General features: G+C 46.2%; 1 protein-coding gene across 13 annotated transcripts in view, besides 9 other annotated features; it reads right to left on the minus strand.

Moving 5' to 3' along the window:
* The window catches only part of DDX6 (DEAD-box helicase 6), a 43,982-nt gene extending 38,852 nt beyond the window's left edge, over positions 1-5,130 (minus strand). For 6 of the 13 annotated variants that reach the window (NM_001425154.1, NM_001425147.1, NM_001425153.1 and 3 more), the window contains exon 1: positions 4,484-4,550. The gene's annotated coding sequence lies outside the window, so the exon portion shown is untranslated. Of the gene's footprint in view, positions 1-4,240; positions 4,329-4,483; positions 4,551-5,005 lie in introns of those variants that run through there. The other 7 variants (NM_001425148.1, NM_001425151.1, NM_001425149.1 and 4 more) reach the window with 3 other exon arrangements.
* Positions 3,150-3,707: an enhancer, noted in NCBI's record as "NANOG-H3K27ac-H3K4me1 hESC enhancer chr11:118660473-118661030 (GRCh37/hg19 assembly coordinates)". NCBI's record gives its function as "activates a minimal SCP1, AML or CMV promoter by ChIP-STARR-seq in primed H9 embryonic stem cells {active_cell/tissue: H9 hESC(primed)}" and the evidence as "EXISTENCE:reporter gene assay evidence [ECO:0000049][PMID:30033119]".
* Positions 3,166-3,345: an enhancer, noted in NCBI's record as "active region_5598". NCBI's record gives its function as "activates an Ori minimal core promoter by ATAC-STARR-seq in GM12878 lymphoblastoid cells {active_cell/tissue: GM12878}" and the evidence as "EXISTENCE:reporter gene assay evidence [ECO:0000049][PMID:35858748]".
* Positions 3,546-3,625: a silencer, noted in NCBI's record as "silent region_3952". NCBI's record gives its function as "represses an Ori minimal core promoter by ATAC-STARR-seq in GM12878 lymphoblastoid cells {active_cell/tissue: GM12878}" and the evidence as "EXISTENCE:reporter gene assay evidence [ECO:0000049][PMID:35858748]".
* Positions 4,256-4,585: a silencer, noted in NCBI's record as "silent region_3953". NCBI's record gives its function as "represses an Ori minimal core promoter by ATAC-STARR-seq in GM12878 lymphoblastoid cells {active_cell/tissue: GM12878}" and the evidence as "EXISTENCE:reporter gene assay evidence [ECO:0000049][PMID:35858748]".
* Positions 4,656-4,765: an enhancer, noted in NCBI's record as "active region_5599". NCBI's record gives its function as "activates an Ori minimal core promoter by ATAC-STARR-seq in GM12878 lymphoblastoid cells {active_cell/tissue: GM12878}" and the evidence as "EXISTENCE:reporter gene assay evidence [ECO:0000049][PMID:35858748]".
* Positions 5,036-5,325: a silencer, noted in NCBI's record as "silent region_3954". NCBI's record gives its function as "represses an Ori minimal core promoter by ATAC-STARR-seq in GM12878 lymphoblastoid cells {active_cell/tissue: GM12878}" and the evidence as "EXISTENCE:reporter gene assay evidence [ECO:0000049][PMID:35858748]".
* Positions 5,382-5,937: an enhancer, noted in NCBI's record as "H3K27ac hESC enhancer chr11:118662705-118663260 (GRCh37/hg19 assembly coordinates)". NCBI's record gives its function as "activates a minimal SCP1, AML or CMV promoter by ChIP-STARR-seq in naive H9 embryonic stem cells {active_cell/tissue: H9 hESC(naive)}" and the evidence as "EXISTENCE:reporter gene assay evidence [ECO:0000049][PMID:30033119]".
* Positions 6,326-6,435: an enhancer, noted in NCBI's record as "active region_5600". NCBI's record gives its function as "activates an Ori minimal core promoter by ATAC-STARR-seq in GM12878 lymphoblastoid cells {active_cell/tissue: GM12878}" and the evidence as "EXISTENCE:reporter gene assay evidence [ECO:0000049][PMID:35858748]".
* Positions 12,446-12,740: a silencer, noted in NCBI's record as "tiled region #5837; HepG2 Repressive non-DNase unmatched - State 21:Repr". NCBI's record gives its function as "represses a minimal TATA promoter and a strong SV40 promoter by Sharpr-MPRA in HepG2 cells {active_cell/tissue: HepG2}" and the evidence as "EXISTENCE:reporter gene assay evidence [ECO:0000049][PMID:27701403]".

Raw genomic sequence — 17,055 nt, forward strand, 5'->3', positions numbered from 1 at the left:
TTAAAGAATTAATAATACAGCTACACTTAGACCAAATCACGAGCCAAGCTAGGATAGACACAACTTTGAACTATCTCAAAAACACAATGAGGCCAATATCAAACATTTAAAATTGTTAATTCAAAGCAATCCAGAGATTAAGTAGAAAGAGACTAGTAAATTAGCACTACTCGTCAATGATAATCTCTTCTCTTCAGTTTCCTCCCCATGAATTCTCTAAGTCTCTGACATCTCTAAAAGTCAGTGATTCATTATACTTAATTGCATTACAACTCACTGAAGTATCACACAATTTAAACAAGACAATTCATTAATTTTCTTCTACTTGTAATAGCAACCGAGAGTCCTTATAGATTTAAGTGAGCTTTTGACTTGAACTTCACACTTCCAGAAAAAAACACCTTTGTGCCCTTACAAATTTCAACTATTAAACTTTATGGGCTGGGTGCTGGTGGCTCAGGCCTGTAATCGCAGCACTTTGAGAGGCCAATGCGGGCGATCTCTTGAGGTCAGGAGTTAGAGACCAGCCTGGACAACATAGCGAAACCCCATCTCTACTAAAAATACAAAATTTAGGCCGGGTGCAGTGGCTCATGCCTGTAATCCCAGCACTTTAGGAGGCCGAGGAAGGTGGATCATGAGGTCAGGAGTTCAGGATCAGCCTGGCCAAGATGGTGAAACCCTGTCTCTACTAAAAATACAAAAATTAGCCAGGCGTGGTGGCGAGCGCCTGTAATTCCAGCTACTTGGGAGGCTGAGGCAGAGAACTGCTTGAACCCAGGAGGCGGAGGTTGCAGTGAGCCAAGATTGTGCCACTGCACTCCAGCCTCAGCGACAGAGCCAGACTCCGTCTCAAAAACAAAAACAAACAAGAAAAAAAAAACAAAAAACAAAATTTAGCCGGGCATGGTGGTGCACACCTGTAATGGAGTCCCAGCTACTTGGGAGGCTGAAGCACGAGAATCGCTTGAACCTGGCAGACGGAGGCTGCAGTGAGCCAGGTGACAGAGACCTTGTCTCAAAAAACAACAAAAAACTTTAAGAAGAAAAATGTATTTTCTTTTTTCCTTTTTGTCCTTTAAAACAATAAATGAAGCAGTCAAGAGAATAGTGTATTTCTGCCATAATGCATCCAGCAAGTAATGATCCCAAGGACGGATGATATACACAAATTTTGTATAAATGAATTTTTATTTTGAAATTGACAAAACCAAGATGACTCTAATAATTTTATTCATTTATAACAAACTTAGCTAATAACTATTCTAATTTTAAATTTAAAAAAACAGGAAAATTCCTGTTTAAAAAAAAATCCGCGGAAGACTAAACACACTAGTAATTTTAAGAAAACTTTCCAAGAAATCCAGAGTAGTAAAGCTAATTAATAGTTTAAAAAAAAAAAAAAGAACTGGTAGGAGGGGCACGGTAGCTCACGCCTGTAATCCCAACACTTTGGGAGGCCAAGACTGGTGGATCACCTGAGGTCAGGAGTTCAAGACCACCTGACCAACACGGTGAAACTCCGTTCCACTAAAATACAAAAATTAACTGGGCGTGGTGGCCCTGTAATCTCAGCTACTTAGGAGGCTGAGGCAGCAGAATCACTTGAACCCAGGAGGTGGAGGCTGCAGTGAGTCCAGATCATGCCATTGTACTCCAGCCTGGGCAACAAGAGCAATACTCTGACTTAAAAACAAACAAAGCAAACAAACAAACAAAACCCACAAAACTAGTCAACCTCAGTTTAAAATTATCCCGTAAATGGAAATCTTACTTACTTTTATTTTTTATTGTATTTTTTGAGACAGAATCTTGCACTGTCACCCAGGCTGGAGTGCAATGGCGCGCTCTCAGCTCACTGCAAGCTCCGCCTCCTGGGTTCACGCCATTCTCCTGCCTCAGCCTCCTGAGTAGCTGGGATTACGGGCATGCGCCACCATGCCCAGCTAATTTTTGTATTTTTAGTAAAGACGGGGTTTCGACATGTTGGCCAGGCTGGTCTTGAACAACTGAGCTCAGGTGATCCGCCCGCCTCGGCCTCCCAAAGTGCTGGGATTACAGACGTAAGCCACCACGCCCGGCCTATTATTTTTGAGACAGAGTCTCACTCTGTTGCCCAGAGTGGAGTGCAGTAGCCCGATCTCAGCTCACTGCAACCTCCACCACGCAGGTTCAAGCGATCCTCATGCCTTAGCCTCCCAAGTAGCTTGGTGGGATTACAGGTCTGGCTAATTTCTGTATTTTTCAGTAGACACGGGGTGTTATCAAGTTGGCCAGGCTGGTCTTGGACTCCTAACCTCAAATGATCTGCCCGCCTTAGCCTCCTAAAGTGCTAGGATTACAGGCGAGAGCCACCGTGCCCGGCTGAAATCTTACTTTTAATTGGAGTTAATAAAAACATACAAAGACACGAAAACAAAGCCCTACTCTGTTGGCTTTTGATTTAACCCCGTTACACTTTTTTTTTTTTTTTTTTTTTGAGGCGGAGTCTCGCTCTGCCGCCCAGGTTGGAGTGCAGTGGCACAATCTTGGCTCACTGCAACCGCCGCCTCCTGGGTTCAAGCGATTCCCCTGTCTCAGCCTCCCGAGTAGCTGGGATTACAGGCGCCTGCCACCACGCGCAGCTAAATTTTTTCTATTTTTAGTAGAGACGGGGTTTTGCCATGTTGGCCAGGCTAGTATCGAACTCCTGACCTCAGCTGATCCGCCTGTCTTGGCCTCCCAAAGTGCTGGGATTACAGGTGTGAGCCACCGCTCCCAGCAACCCCGTTACATTTCTTATATAAAATACACTAGCTTACGAGTGCTGATTCTTTCTGCCATACACCAAGGCATGTGAAACTCAAAATTTTAAAGTCAACAGATCTCAACATTTATGAAGAAAATGCTCCTTGATTATGCCTTCCTTAAAAAAAAAATGAACAAGTTGCTCACAAGCAAATCCTGATTATCACATACACAAAGCTGTTTACTTCAGACTCTGACCTCTTAAGCAGATATGGTTAACAGCTACTTTCCTGTATTGACGGTTTTATATTATGATCAGCGATATCACGCAGTTCACAGAGACTTAGCTGTTTGCAGAGCACTAAGAGGATGAAAAGGGCAACCTCTAAAGACCGAACGATATCATCATTACTGTCCATCATGCACAGTAAGACCTCCTATATCCTTAAATCCAAAATGAGACTATGTGATAACTGCTCCCTTCTTAAACTGAAACCTGCACTGCAGCTTTTTCTCAGAGAAGGAAATATTCCTCCTACCCCTTCCCAATTTAGATTTGCAAGTTTTCTACATTTTCAAAAACAAAAAACAAAAAAACAAAAAACAAACAACAAGAAACGTAGACTAGTTGGGAGGAGCCCCTAGCGGAGTTAATTACAGCACTTCACAGATCGTAGTTAGCAATTGACAGTTTCACACCCAAAACAGTATCGTCATCGCCAACAAGAGCTTTTGTTTGCAAATGCAGCGCAGTTTTTCTAGCTTTGCCTGCAAGTTGGAGTGACTGGGTTTTATTCTGAAGGGAAATGGGGGCTGAGGAAGAGAAAGGAGAGAGATACGGGAAAGAGTCATTGACTAATGACTGGAACCCCGTAACTGAAAGGAAATTTCTTGTCCCCCCGCACCCCGCCCCACGCCCCAAACACACACACTTCTGACCATAAACACAAAAGGTTGGGGCTCTGCAATCTTATCTGCGCAATATGAGCCAGCAACCGCTCCATTAGTAGCAAACAATAGGGACTCCCCCAAGGAGGCCCCAAATGGACCCCCTAAACCAGAAATCCCCCTCCTTTCCTCCAAGAGTCGGGGGCTCCATAAATACCCTCTTGTTATTGACCCGCAAGGCCTACTGCAATCAAGCAGCGGCCGGTTTGCTTCTAAACCGAGCCCTCCAATACAGCATGTCCCTGCCGCCCCCTATAGGGCCGCCTCGTACCCTATAACCTCCACCATCATCCCCCTAAGTCCTTGCCGCCCCCTTCGGCCTCATATTCCCTCATCTTCGATAAAGCTACTCCGAGTACTTAGCCTGTTCCTCCTGCCGACCCTGCTGCGCACCACATTCCTATATTCGCCTCCTCTCAGGCGCTCCCACCCCACACAGCTGCCGACCGCCTTCCTCCCCAGGCCCGGCCAGGCCTTAGGCCTCCGCCCGAGAGTCCCCCAGAGCCGGCCCGGGGGGCTCCCCACAGCCCCCAAAGCACCGCTGACCTCGACCCCACCACCTCACCCCAAGCCTCGCGACTCGGGCCCGTGTCCTACCAACGAGGCCACTCCCGCTCGGCACCCTCGGTCCTTTATTGTTGACTCGAAGCTCCCAAAATGGCGGACGCTCCTTCCTCCTCGGAAACCTCCGCCCGCCCCCACCCAGCCCTCTCGCTACGGCCTCCTCTCGCCCCCGCCCCCGCCCCGCTCCGAGGGGCGCGCAGGCCAGCCGCCCGAGCCGCCGGCTCCCCCGGCTGTCCAGCCCTACCTCCTCCGCTGCCCGCTCTCGTGGCGCCGCCGAAGTCGCCGCCTGGCTGAGCTAACTCGGCTCCTCTGCCCCCTCCCTCGCTCGCCCGTTCGCCCGCCCGCCGCCTCCTCCCTCTTTCCCTGCCTCTCCGCATGGCGGCGACCGCGGCTCCTCCTCCACTCAAGATGGCGAAACCTCGGCCGCCGCGGCTATATTCGCCGCGGCGTCACTGCCTTCCTGGCCTGGTGGTGAGAGGAAGTCGGGCCGCGAAAGCTTCCTGAGGAGAAAATGGAGGGCCCTTCTCTCACACCGACGAGAAAAGTTCGAGGGGGAAATACGAGTTCCTTTCTGAAGGGACAGGACGGCTGCTTTTCCACAGCCGCGACGTGATTGAGAAATGGTGGCTGGCAAGGGTAGGCCTGCCTTCGCCCCTCCAAAGTAAAAATCGGGAGTTGAGACCAGAGGAACATCTCTTTATTACATGACTAAGGATATGTTTTGAAAACTGGCCCCCGGGCAGCTGCTCGGGGACAGGAAGCTGACCTGACTTCTCCAGCTGGCCGGGGAGGCTGATGCCGGGCCTAAGGGGCCGCGTCCGAGCCTCTCGGGGCGCGCCTCCATGCAGGAAGGCGCGGAACTAGCGACCCGGAGACGCCGGGCGCGCGTCTGAGTGTGGGGGCAGGAAGGGGGGCCGACCGGGCCCGGAGGCCGCACCAGGCAGGAGGGAGGACTCCAGAGAGTGCGCGGGGGGCGCTGCGCGGTGGGACGGGGCGAGCCTGTAGGGCGCGCCTGGCGGCGGGTAGGCTCCGGGCTTGAGGGTGCGCCTGGGGGCGCTGGTTGTGGGGGAAGGCACCGGGCTTGAGGGTGCACCTGGGCGGGGGAAGTCTTCGGGCATGAGGGCGCGCCTGCGGGTGGTATGGGGGGGTACACCGAGCTTGAGGGTGCGCCCGGGGGGCTCTCATGTGAAGGGTACCAGGCTTGAGGGCGCCCCTGCGGGGGGCGCAGAGGCACCGAGCTTGAGGGTGCGCCTCGGGGGTCTGCGGGGGGAAGGCACCGGACTTGAGCGTGCGCCGGGAGAGGACGGCGGGGGACCGGACTGTGAGGGCGTATCTTGGGGGACCTGTCTAGGAGGAACCGGGAGGTGAAGGCACAACTGGGGGTGAGGCGGGGGCAGGGGCCGGGCTGTGAGAGTGCGACTGAGGGGGGATTACTCCGGAGAGCACGGAGCTGGGGGCGTTGCGCAGGTGGAGTGGGGAGGCCTGGTGGAGAGGGTAGCAAACCGAGAGAGCGCACCGGGGTGGTGGGGGGAGAAGCTGGACTGTAAGGTGAAGAGTTAGTAGGGCGCAACCGTCTTCTCCTGCCCTCGAAGGGCAAGACTGAAGAAAGTAGGGGCGGAGGAGGCCGGGCCCTCCACTAAAGGGAGGGAAGCTAGTGAAGCGTCAGTTATAATAGAAATAGGAATTCAGTAAGGAAATGGAGAAGCTTAAGGCAAAGGGTGACTCTCCGGCCTGACCCTCACTATGAAGATATTTATGTATGTTCCCATAATACTTTTCAGATCCCAATGTCTGTGTTTATCCTTGACAGAAATAATAGAACTGCTGTCTTCTTCCAAGTTAAACAAAACTTTGGAGCTAAAAGCTAGCTAGGTCAAGAGAAACAAAATCTAATCCTCACCCAATTGAGAGACTGAATATACAAAGAATGGCCAAACCTAACCATGACCTCCTACCCATAACCTCTTCAGTAATCGGCCAGAAGGGTCAGGACTTAATCTTTAACCGGCAGCTTCCCTATTTCTTGCCCCTGCTTCCAGCTCTGGGCCAATCAGAGAAAGCCAAATGTGCTCCTCACACCAATCGCGTAAGAAGCCCTGCTTCTAGTATAGCCCTCCTCCAACTTCCCGATGCCAACATCCTCCAATCAGAGCCAACCTGAAGTTTCTCCCTTTTTTCAGTATATGTAAAGCTTTTCCACTCCCCTGCCTGCCTATGAGTCTGTTAAATCAAGTGATGGGTCGCGGCTGACTCTTGCCAGCTCTGAGTAAATAGCCTATTCTCATTTGGTGGTCGTTATTTCTACACAGCCGGTGGGAAGGTGGTGGAGAATAGTGAAGACTATTCTTAAGGTTAAAAAGAAGGTTCGGCTTACATTTTTTTTTTATTTTAAATTTACAGCATGGCGTCTCCAGCCCAGGTTTTAAAATACCTTCTAATGTAAGGAAATAGCCCTGCACCTTGTGCCCATCCTAGAGAGAAAATGGTTTCTTAATAAAAAATGTATGAGGCCTTTTTTGCCCCAATATCTTCCCAAGCAGAGGAATGTGAAGGGGGGTTGGGCCAAGAAGTGAGTGGTAGGAAGAGAGGCCTACGGATTTAAAACAGGCCACTGCTTGGAGGGGTGTCTTTCCTAAACCACTGAAGAAATTGAACCAGGCAAAGGAAGGGGGTTCACACCCACAAATAAACTATAACCTACAAAAGGAGCCCGGGTTCACATCCACAAATAAATTGTAACCTACACAAGGAGTCTGGTTGAGGTCACAAAACAAAAGCCAGGAGGCAACCAAAAGTAGAATATGAAATAGGTGCTGCCTTCTCACCTAGGAATCCTTCCAGGGCTAAAACCTTCAAATATTCTGCTTTTAAGGTAGTCAGATACCCTCACAACTCATTTACATCAGCCCTTCTCTGTTTTCAAGTGAGAAGCATAGATGGTTTAGAATTAAGCTATGAACTCTTGGATCTTTTCTTCCAAGTTTAGTGTTAGTGGTAGATAGGTCTAGTCCAACTATCTCAATACATTGTTTTCTCCCTAGTTAAAACAGATTTGCAAGAATCATTTGTATGACACTTTAGGAATACAGATAAATTGCTAGTGCAAATAATATCCTTATATTTATAAAATATATGTGTACTTTTAAAAAAGTTATATGAATCCAATCCTCTGGCCTTTTAGTTAGTATTGAGTGTGATAGTTGTGGGAGATCTGTAGTAAATACGGTTTCTGAAGGGTGTGCTATCATCCCTAATGAACTCACCTATTAATTGTGGTAAAGAGTTTTTCACTTGGGCTGGGCACGGTGGCTCACGCCTGTAATCCCAGCACTTTGGGAGGCCGAGGCAGGTGGGTCGACTGAGGTCAGGAGTTCCAGACCAGCCTAGCCAACATGGTGAAACCCCGTCTGTACTAAAAAAAAAAAAAAGAAAAAAAATAGCTGGGCATGGTGGCAGGTGCCTGTAATCCCAGCTACTTGGGAGGCTGAGGCAGGAGAATCCCTTGAACCTGGGGAGGCGGAGGTTGCAGTGAGCCAAGATCGTGCCATTGCACTCCAGCCTGGGCAACAAGAGCAAAACTCCGTCTCAAAAAAAAAAAAAAAAAGAAAAAGAAAAAGAAATGAAAAAAAAAGTTTCCCAACATGTATTAGCCGTTTTCATGTTGTCTGTATTCACCTTTGCGTCATCACCCCTCTTCAATTTCCTCCTGGAATTCAATCACAGTAATGGGTTATCTCAGCATATATTATTCGCCAGTCTCACATCCTGACCTCATTTATTTACCTAAAAATAACCAGAACGAAAAAAAAATCACAGATTAATTTACACTTGATTTCACTTTAACTTCAATTTAAAATACTTAGAATCCAGAATTCCTAGTAAGTTGAACCTGGAATACGCAGACCTGTGATAATATCTTAAACACTCAAATGTTTTCAACTTGCTGAAATGGAGTTCACACTTTTAACATTCTGGGCTTTTTTTTTAAAAGGGACTATAATACTTTAACTCAAATTACAATCAAATGTGTTCATTACCTATAAGAAAAAAATTTTACCTATCTCATATCTTCAGTGAAATGATTATATCACATCTGGCTAAGCTTTACCATTTGGTATTTGCCCTCTTTCAAGTGATTTGCAGTATAATACTTTGATTTCCCAAAATTTCAACATACAAAGTTATTTTCCAAATATGCTCAAGCAACATCTGATCATCACTAACAAGACTAAAGGCTAATATGCCCAAGGAGCCAAGTCCCGTTTTCTTGGGACTTCATAGCAGGTAAAAATTGCCTTTTCAATTTATACACCTGAAGAAAGTGAAGCAGCATCAGTCACTGAGGGCTTAGTAGAGATGTCCTCAGAGAGGTGCACATACTGCGCTGAAGTTGATGCATACTAAGCAGGCGTGCTTAATCACTGAGAGGTTACATCAGGCACATTTTGTTGGAATAAATGTTCCAACCCCTGAGTAAACTCAAATTGAAAAGTAGGAAAGTTGGCCAGCGCGGTGGCTCACACCTGTAATCCCAGCACTTTGGGAGGCCAAGGTGGGCGGATCACGTGAGGTCAGGAGTTCGAGACCAGCCTGGCCAACATGGTGAAACCCCATCTCTACTAAAAATACAAAAATTAGCCGGGTGTGGCAGCATGCACCTGTAATCCCAGCTACTTGGGAGGCTGTGGCGGAGAATTGCTTGAACCCAGGAGGCAGAGGTTGCAGTGAGCTGAGATTGCACCACTGCACTCCAACCTGGGTGACAGAGTAAGACTCTGTCTCAAAAAAAAAAAAAAAAAAAAAAGTGTAGGAAAGCAATAGTACAAACGAGGAGGGGAGTGGGTGAGTTAAACACATTTTCCCCAAACTGCCAGGTTTACTTTGCAGAATTTGTATTCTCTTTCACAGATAACATAACCCTCATTCCCAGCACACCACAACCAAGCTAGCTAGCTGGCTCAGCTCACGGTGTCCTTCGGCCACATCGGGACTCAGCATGGTATATGTTCTGGTCATCACCCAGAGAATTCTAGCTATTCATTTTGACTCTTCAGTTTCGCTAAGATGACTGCATGCCAGCAATTTTAACTTATTTATTAATTTGAAAATAATGTGTGGCTGGGCCGGGCACAGTGGCTCACGCCTGTAATCCCAGCACTTTGGGAGGCCGAGGCAGGCGGATCACGAGGTCAGGAGATCAAGACCAGCCTGACTAACATGGTGAAACCCTGTCCCTACTAAAAATACAAAAAATTAGCTGGGCGTGGTGGCATGCACCTGTAGTCCCAGCTACTAGGGAGGCTTAGGCAGGAGAATTGCTTGAACCCAGGAGGCAGAGGTCGCAGTGAGCCAAGATCACACCACTGCACTTCAGCCTGGGCAACAGAACGAGACTCCGTCTCAAAAAGAAAAAAAGAAAAGAAAAAAGAAAAAGAAAATATGTGTGGCTGGAAGACACTGAAATCTGGAAAACAGCTATTTAGGTATAAATTTACTTTGACTTACTGAGATCAAGAAAGAACTGACATCGTCCTCATCTAAGATACCTTGTTCTCCTTGGGTATTTTCCAAGTTAGTTCAGGGGCAGTTGCCGAGGAATAACACTGATGGGGGTTCACACTATGGCGATCTTGTTGAACTGCCTGATGTTGGTTTGTGTAATCTGCCCCCTTTGTGCCCAAGAACCTGTGACAAGATTCTGCTTCTGACAACCTTCTGTGCAGGGGTAGCGACAGGAGTCTGAACAATCATTAAGTGTCCAGCCCTGGTTTCCTGCCACTAGTCAATCTGCAGAGACTTTTATTGATTCTTGAAAATACAACTGTGATTGTAGGTTTGGGCCCTGGGAATGTAATTTATAGCTAAAGAATGGGCAATGTCTTCTGTCCTGAGTGCCATGGTTGGATTGTGTAACATCTGTGGCTACCAGGACAAGGAAGGAACAAAGGAAGACAAAAGTATTTCAGTGCAGAGATCTTCTCAGTGACCCTCCTTGCTTTTCATCTGCCTGATGAATTTTAAAGACTACTTTTTATCATATCTCCACACCGTAAACTACCCCCTCAGTGGCTCCCAGTTTCCTTTTACTACATCTAGTCTACACTCCATAGACCGACTGAGACTGCCAATATGCCTACCCAGTCGGATTTCCTACTCTTCCTCCCCCCATACATTTGCTGCTCTGGTCTCCTGAAAGGTTACATTCCCTCACCTCTGATTGTTTCCCTTAGAAACCCTCTCATCTCCTTTCCTCTGGGTCTATCTAAATCTCACTCAGAATCCTAGATATATTACCACAAGCCCCTATCCTCCTATGTTTCCCATTCCTTTGCTCCTGTGCAACCAGGGCTCAGGCTCTGGAGTCAGACAGATTTAGGTTCATAATCCCAGTTCTGCCACTTATTAACTATTACTCCATAAATGTGGAAACATTTCTCAACTCTTTTTTTTTTTTTTTTTTTTTTTGAGACGGAGTCTCGCTGTGTTGCCCGGGCTGGAGTGCAGTGGTGTGATCTTGGCTCACTGCAACTTCTGCCTCCCAGGTTCTAGTGATTCTCCTGCCTCAGCCTCCCAAGTAGCTGGGACTACAGGTGTGTGCCACCACACCCGGCTAATTTTTGTGTTTTTAGTAGAGATGGCGTTTCACCATTTTGACCAAGCTGGTCTCAAACTCCTGACCTCAAATGATCCACCCTCCTTGGCTTCCCAAAGTGCTAGGATTACAGGCGTGAGCCGCCGCGCCTGGCCATTTCTTAACTTCTGAACCTCAATTTTCCCATTTATAAAATGGGTAAAAAGTGGCCAGCACGTGGGTCAGGCCTGTAATCTCAGCACTTCGGAGGCCCAGGCAGAAGAATCGCTTGAGGCCAGGAGTTCAAGGTCAGCCGGGGCAACATATTGACATCCCGCCTCTACAAAAAATAAGCTGGGCAGGGTGGCGTGCACCTATTGTCCTAGCTATTCAGGAGGCTGAAGTAGGAGAATTGCTTGAGCCCAGGAGTTCAAGGCTGCAGTGAGTTATGATTGTGCTACTGCACTCCAGCCTGGGCGACAGACAGAAATTCTGTCTGTACAAAAAATGAAACAATAAAGTGGATAAGATGGGGATAATAGGACCTAGAGTGTCATGAGGGTAAGTGAATGAAATAAATCACTTATTTTAGTAGTTGGCAAATGGCACTCAAAAAAATTAGTTGGTGTTGCTATTGTTATTTTGTTGACTTTTGTCTGAACCTCTTCTTATTCTATCAGATTACAGCCTGAGGTTGGCCAATTCAATTCTATTTCCCTAGCCTCTATTGTCTCTCAGCTCTTCAGCTTTGTGCCCTACCAACCTTAATAAACAGGTGCCACACTCTAATTTCACAGCCTCTGCTCCAGGAATGTTGATGCTGGAGAGAGCCCTGTAACCAGGCTGATTGGTTCAACAATAAATTCTTGCTTCTGAACCTCAGCTGAGCCCTTTCTGCTGCTCCACAAACCCTTTACTGCTGGTTCTCAATTGTGGATGCTCATTAGAGTCAACAGAGGCGCTTATGAAACCACTAGTGCCTGGGCCCCATCCCAGGAGAATTAAATCAGAATCCTTGGGGCTGGGGTCCAGCGTCATTTTTTTGTGTGTGTTAAGGCTCCCTGGATGATCCTAATGTCCAGCCAGGAATGAGAACCACTTAATTGTTCTTCAAGGACAATTATTTCCTACTACAGCATTCCACATCTTTTCTTCTATCCATAAGCTTACCTTCAAATCAAATAGAAGCTTCATAAACTTCCCACCTTCATAAATCCACAGAAGCTTCATAAACTTTCCACCTCCCTCCCTGACAAACTTCATTTTGTTCCTTTCTTGGAAGATAGAGCATCACACCTCCTATGTAAGGCTAATCTATCCTTTTTTAAAATAAAATATTCCATTGATTACCTCCTTTCCTTTATATTTTTAATATTATTAAATGTTTCTCTCTCTGTTGCTTCTTCCTCTCAACCTGGATTTGTTCCCAAGTTTTTCTCCATTCTAAACAACAAACAAAAACAATCTTCCCTCACTCTGGTTCCAGGTTGAATGAGAGAAGAGGGAAGAACAAGTATTCACTGAAGGGCTCCCAGGGACAGGCGCTATGTTAGGTGACATCCGTTGCAAAATCTTGGCCATTCTTGCTCTGGGATATCACTTCCATCTCTGCTTCTCCATGATTACTGCCACTGTCTCAACCCAGGGTTTTTTTCTTTTGCTTAGACTATTTACTGGACTTCCTGCTTCAACCTCTTTTCCTCTCTAACCCATCCTGTACAGTAATGCCAGAGTAGTCTTCCCAGTCAGATCACTATTCTGTTGAAGAGTCTTTCATAATTCTCCATTAACTACTGGATAACATTTCGATCCCTCATCTCTCTTCAGAATAAGTAGGAGGCCCTTGGGACCTCCTTGCCCCAAACCCCATGAGTGATCTGACCTTCTGATCATTGCTGGGATAAGACAGGTCTTGTGATATTTTTATCTTTGAATTTCTTGGTTCTTCTCATAATTTGTTTCAGCTTAAATGTTACCTCCTCCTAGTTGCCTTCCCTGATGATATTAAAGTAGTGCCCCTCTCCCTCACTCTGTACCCCATTAAATGATCTGAAATTATTTTGTTTACATGTTGATTGCCTATGCCCTCCCCAACAGCAAGCCCAACTCAAATCCACTTCTACCATTGAGCTTTGCTGATTCATCCCAGTGCTCCTTGTGCTCCCATCACTTTGAGCTTGCTCATTGCTAAGGTGATAAAATCAGATTTCTTCAGAACACACTGGGATTTTCTAGGGTAATTATTATTAGTGCTCCTGTTTATCCTCAGAACTATCCCAATTGGGACAATAAATTATATAATCACTGGATTTATAGTCTTGTGTCATACCCATTTGTAAAGATGTGTTATTTCTAAGCTCACTGAGGACAGGAACAAAGTCATGTTCATCTTTCTTTCTTTTTTTTTTTTTTTTTTTTTTTTTTGAGACAAGGTCTTGCTCTGTTGCCCAGGCTGGAATGCAGTGGCACAATCACGGCTCACTGCAGCCTCAATCTCTGGGACTGAAGCTATCCTCTCACCCCAACTTGCCAAGTAGCTGGAACCACAGGCAGGCACCACCATGCCTGGCTAATTTTTAAATTTTATTTTATTTTAATTAATTAATTATTATTATTTTTTGAGACAGAGTCTCGCTCTGTCGCCCAGGCTGGAGTGCAGTGGCATGATCTTGGCTCACTGCAACCTCTGCCTCCTGAGTTCAAGCAATTCTTCTGCCTTACCCTCCCAAGTAGCTAGGACTACAGGCGCGTGCCACCATGCCCAGCTAATTTTTGTATTTTTTGTTTTAAATTTATTTATTTTTTGAGACGGAGTCTCACTTCTTCACCCAGGCTGGAGTGCAATGGCACGATCTTGGCTCACTGCAACCTCCGCCTTCTGGGTTCAAGCAATTCTCCTGCCTCAGCCTCCCCAGTAGCTGGGATTACAGGTATGTGCCACCATGCCTGGCTAATTTTTGTCGGTATTTTTAGTAGAGACAGGGTTTCACTTTGTTGGCCAGGCTGGTCTGGAACTCCTGACCTCAAGTGATCCACCCGCCTCGGGCTCGGCCTCCCAAAGTGCTGGGATTATAGGCGTGAGCCACCACGCCAGGCTATTTTATTTTTTTGAGATGGAGTTTCACTCTTGTTGCCCAGGCTGGAATGCAATGGCTCGATCTCAGCTCACTGCAACCTCCACCTCCCGGTTTCAAGTGATTCTCCTGCCTTAGCCTCCCAAGTAGCTGGGATTACAGGTGTTTACCACCACACCTGGCAAATTTTTGTATTTTTAGTAGAGATGGGGTTTCACCATGTTGACCAGGCTGGTCTTAAACTTCTGACCTCAAGTAATTCGCTCGCCTCAGCCTCCCAAAGTGCTGGGATTATAGGTATGAGCCACTGTGCCGGCCTTATTTTAAAGAGACAGGGGCTCCCTAGGTTGCTCAGGCTGGTCTCAAACTCCTGGACTGAAACAATCCTCCCACCTGAAGTGCTGGGATTATAGGCCCGAGCTACCCTGCCCAGCCTGTGTTCATCTTTCTTTCACCAATAACATCTAGTAAGGTATTTTGTATACATATATTAGAAGCTCAGGAATCTATTGAATGGGATTGGATAATTGATTAAAATAAGACAATGTATGTGGAGAGACTAGCACGATATCTAATACATGGTAAATGTGTTAAATTCTTTTTTCCCAAACGTGGTATGTGCTAAAAATTAAAATAAATAAATAGATAATGTTAAGTTGTTTTTTTTTTTTTTGGAAACAGATTCTGTCTCTTTCACCCAGGTTGGAGTGCAGGGGCCCTTTTTTGGTTCACTGCGAGCTCCGCTTCCCAGGTTCACGCTATTCTCCTGCCTCAGCCTCCCGAGTAGCTGGGACTACAGGCGCCCGCCACCGCGCCCGGATAATTTTTTTTTTTATATTTTTGATAGAGACAGGGTTTCCCCGTGTTAGACAGGATGGTCTCGATCTCCTGACCTCGTGATCCACCCGCCTCGGCCTCCCAAAGTGCCGGGATTACAGGCGTGAGCCACCGTGTCCCGCCTTTTTTTTTTAAGACAAAGTATCACTTTGCCATCCAGGCTGGAGTGCACTGGCATGATCATGGCTCACTCCAGCCTCAATCTCCTGGGCTCAAGCAATTCCTCTTGCCTTAGTCTCCTGAGTAGCTGGGACTACAGGTGCATGTCACCACATGCAGCTAATTTCTTTATTTTTTTGTACAGACGATGGTCTTGCTATGTTGCCCAGGCTGATCTCAAACTCCTGGGCTCAAGCAATCCTCCCACCTTGGCCTCCCAAAATGCTGGGATTACAGGTGCAAGCCACCATGCCCAGCCTTGAAGTTTAATAAATCTTACTTTCCCTTCCCTCAGATGGGTCCAGGTGTCATATCTCTCAAGACCTTTGTTTACCAACTACTCTACACAGTTTAGTACCCAAGTATGTACCAGCTTGTTTGCCTTTATTGAGCTTTTTGTGATGTTGTTTCTTTTACCACATCAGAAGCTTTCATGTATCATATCTTATAATTATCAATTCCAGATAGCAGAACTAGTTCTTTCTTGTAAATTGGTTGATATTGAGATGTTCAATATCTATTGGCTGGTTAATTTGCAGGAAGGAGAGAAATGATGACAAAGATACCAGGTTAGGTGCCCACAGTCAGTGGCACAAGCGTAAAGGATCATGTTCCCTGTTTGAAGATGCATGTATATGCGTTCTAGCAAGCAAAAGTTGGAGCTTCTAATATATCCTCTCAACGTTTTCAGTAACTAAAAAGATACAGATTCAAGTGATCAAGTAATCTTTACACAAGAGTATAATGCCGCTTGGAAGTAAGGGAAGAATGAAAAATATGCTTAGTGTAGAGATCTGACTATGGAATAGTAAGACTGGGGTTTGAATTCCTAAATTATTTACAAATAACTTCCCTATGCCTGTTCTCTCATCTGTTTAATGGGGATGGTACATCTGCCTCTGGGGAGCTTGTAAGAAGAGTAAATATGAAATATATATATATATATATATATATATTTTTTTTTTTTTTTTTTTTTTTGAGACAGAGTCTCACTCTGTCGCCCAGGCTGGAGTGCAGTGGTGCAATCTCAGCTCACTGCAACCTCCCTCACCCGGGTTCAAGTGATTCTCCTGCCTTAGCCTCCAGAGTAGCTGGGATTACAAGTGTGCACCACCACACCTGGCTAATTTTTGTATTTTTTAGTAGAGACAGGGTTTCACCATGTTGGCCAGGCTGGTCTTGAACTCCCGACCTCAAGTGATCCGCCTGCCTCGGCCTCCCAAAATGCTGGGATTATGGGCGTGAGCCACCACTCCTGGCCTTAAATGATAAATATTAATAGTTTACATAAAATGCTCAGCATAGGGACTGGCTCATTACAAGCCCCAATCAGCAATAGCTGTTTTTATAATAGGCAGTCTGAGCCACTACAAAACCTGGATGTGAAAGGTGAAGCTAGCTAAGATCATTAAGTTCTCAAATTTTAAGTTAAATCTTGTTTCTAATGCCAAGGACAAACTATAATTCTTTACTTGTTCGATTGATTCTTTTGTTCATTCACTTATTATTCATTCATTTATTCCATACCAGGTACACAATAAATGCTTATTAAATGCTATTGAGTGAATAATAGTAAGTAACTTGGGGGAAAATAGAGCTTTTTTTTTTTTTTTTTTTTTTTTTAAGACAGTCTCCCTCTGTTGCCCAGGCTGGAGTGAAGTGGTGAGATCTTGGCTCACTGCAACCTCCACCTCCTGGGTTCAAGTGATTCCCCTGCCTCTGCCTCCTGAGTAGCTGGGATTATAGGCTTGCACCACCACGCCCGGCTAATTTTTGTATTTTTAGTATAGATGGGGTTTCACCATGTTGGTCAGGCTGGTCTCCAACTCCTGACCTCGTGATCTGCCCGCCTCGGCCTCCCAAAGGGCTGGGATTACAGGCATGAGCCACCGCTCCTGTCCAAGAGCTTTTTAAGGATATGCCCTCAGTGATATCTGTCAATGAGTGTAAAATACCCCGTGACCAGGACCAGGACACCATGCTGGATGCTGAAGGTTCAAATCCAGCTGTGTCACCTATTGGGAACCCAGCCAGGGATGTGCAGCATTCATTCCTTCAAGCTATCTAACCTATTACCTACTCAAGGCAGATGACTGCCTCATATTTAATGGAAAAATCAAGGTCATAGTGCTGAATGTTCCTCAATTTCCCTTCTCCTCTAGACCCGTCTTCCAC

Source organism: Homo sapiens, chromosome 11, assembly GCF_000001405.40.
Source record: "Homo sapiens chromosome 11, GRCh38.p14 Primary Assembly".
In the NCBI taxonomy this organism is placed as follows: domain Eukaryota; kingdom Metazoa; phylum Chordata; class Mammalia; order Primates; family Hominidae; genus Homo; species Homo sapiens.